At 36.5% G+C, this 1,923-nt stretch overlaps 1 protein-coding gene across 1 annotated transcript; it reads left to right on the top strand.

Moving 5' to 3' along the window:
• Positions 1–948: 948 nt before the first annotated feature.
• OR8U3 (olfactory receptor family 8 subfamily U member 3) lies at positions 949–1,923 on the top strand. The gene has a single exon (NM_001004744.1). The coding sequence runs from the start codon at positions 949–951 to the stop codon at positions 1,921–1,923; it is 975 nt and encodes a 324-aa protein (NP_001004744.1).

Here is a 1,923-nt window from a genome sequence, read left to right as displayed (position 1 = left end):
ATAGGGTAAGCAAGAGACTATCTTAATTCATGTAATGCACTCAGAATATCTGATAAGGACATCACTCAATTGCAATAGATAAAATAATAATAGTACTAATCAATGGAATATGAAAGACAAAGTGGTTAGATATGATGATCTCTCAAAGCATTTTCTAGTTAATATTTCATGATTCTATTTTTTGAAAAATAAAGCCAGGACCAAATTAAAGTTTAAATAGGCTAATATTGGGCTTAACAAGATGAATCCTCTTTTTTTCAGGGCTGGTAGAAATACAAATAATTATAATTATCCTAAAAGATGCATCAAAAACTCCACCCACCAGTATATGTTTCCATAAAACTTTTTACAACTGAATGTTTCCTTTCTCATATTTCTGATCAAATTTCTTTCCATTTCTACAGCATAAATTACTTATTCTATATAAATGTGGGAAGGAATATAGCAAATTGAATAGTTCATAGGAGCTCTAAAATTATTTTGATCTATTTTTGACATATTTTATGGAAGCACGCACAAAACCGAAAAATAAGGAAATATAAATGTGGTCACGTCTATAAATTCAATATTTTTGTTCTGTTATATATGCATGGAAAATATATAAGATTTTTAATGGCAGCAAAAACATTGAAATATTAGTGTCAGTTGTCACAAGCGGTTTCATACTATATAATTTTAACCAACATCTTCTCTTATTTTCTAAAATTACAAAGCAAAATATTTCTTAAGGTGGTCTATTTACTATTCTGCAAGTAAAAGACTCCCCTCCCTCAGGCAAGATTGGCCTCTGTCATTAGAGAGGTAAGATGTATGTTTTTGCCCACATGATGATATGATTCAAGGCAAGAAGACAACAATCATCACCTTTACCCAACACTGACAGGGAACATGAGAAGTATCTTTTTTATTTTTCAACTGCGACAAAATCTACAAAACCTGTTAGGATAAATGGCTGAAGTTAATATCATTTATGTCACTGTATTCATTCTGAAAGGAATTACCAACCGGCCAGAGCTTCAGGCCCCGTGCTTTGGGGTGTTTTTAGTTATCTATCTGGTCACAGTGCTGGGCAATCTTGGGTTGATTACTTTAATCAAGATTGATACTCGACTCCACACACCTATGTACTATTTCCTCAGCCACCTGGCCTTTGTTGACCTTTGTTACTCCTCTGCTATTACACCGAAGATGATGGTGAATTTTGTTGTGGAACGCAACACCATTCCTTTCCATGCTTGTGCAACCCAACTGGGTTGTTTTCTCACCTTCATGATCACTGAGTGTTTCCTTCTAGCCTCCATGGCCTACGATTGCTATGTCGCCATCTGTAGTCCCCTGCATTATTCAACACTGATGTCAAGAAGAGTCTGCATTCAACTGGTGGCAGTTCCATATATATACAGCTTCCTGGTTGCCCTCTTCCACACCGTTATCACTTTCCGTCTGACTTACTGTGGCCCAAACTTAATTAACCATTTCTATTGTGATGACCTCCCCTTCTTAGCTCTGTCCTGCTCAGACACACACATGAAGGAAATTCTGATATTTGCCTTTGCTGGCTTTGATATGATCTCTTCCTCTTCCATTGTCCTCACCTCCTACATCTTTATTATTGCCGCTATCCTAAGGATCCGCTCTACTCAGGGGCAACACAAAGCCATTTCCACCTGTGGCTCCCATATGGTGACTGTCACTATTTTCTATGGCACACTGATCTTTATGTACCTACAGCCCAAATCAAATCACTCCTTGGACACAGACAAGATGGCTTCTGTATTTTACACAGTGGTGATCCCCATGTTAAACCCCCTAATCTATAGTCTAAGGAACAAAGAAGTGAAAGATGCCTCAAAGAAAGCCTTGGATAAAGGTTGTGAAAACTTACAGATATTAACATTTTTAAAAATAAGAAAACTTTATTAA

This window comes from Homo sapiens, chromosome 11 (genome assembly GCF_000001405.40).
Source record: "Homo sapiens chromosome 11, GRCh38.p14 Primary Assembly".
Lineage (NCBI taxonomy): Eukaryota > Metazoa > Chordata > Mammalia > Primates > Hominidae > Homo > Homo sapiens.
Note: the sequence above shows the minus strand (reverse complement) of the source record. Positions and strands in the feature narration are given on the sequence as shown.

Excerpts from the sequence above, each read along its gene's own strand:
- OR8U3 (NM_001004744.1), top strand. The coding sequence starts at position 949 with ATGGCTGAAGTTAATATCATTTATGTCACTGTATTCATTCTGAAAGGA.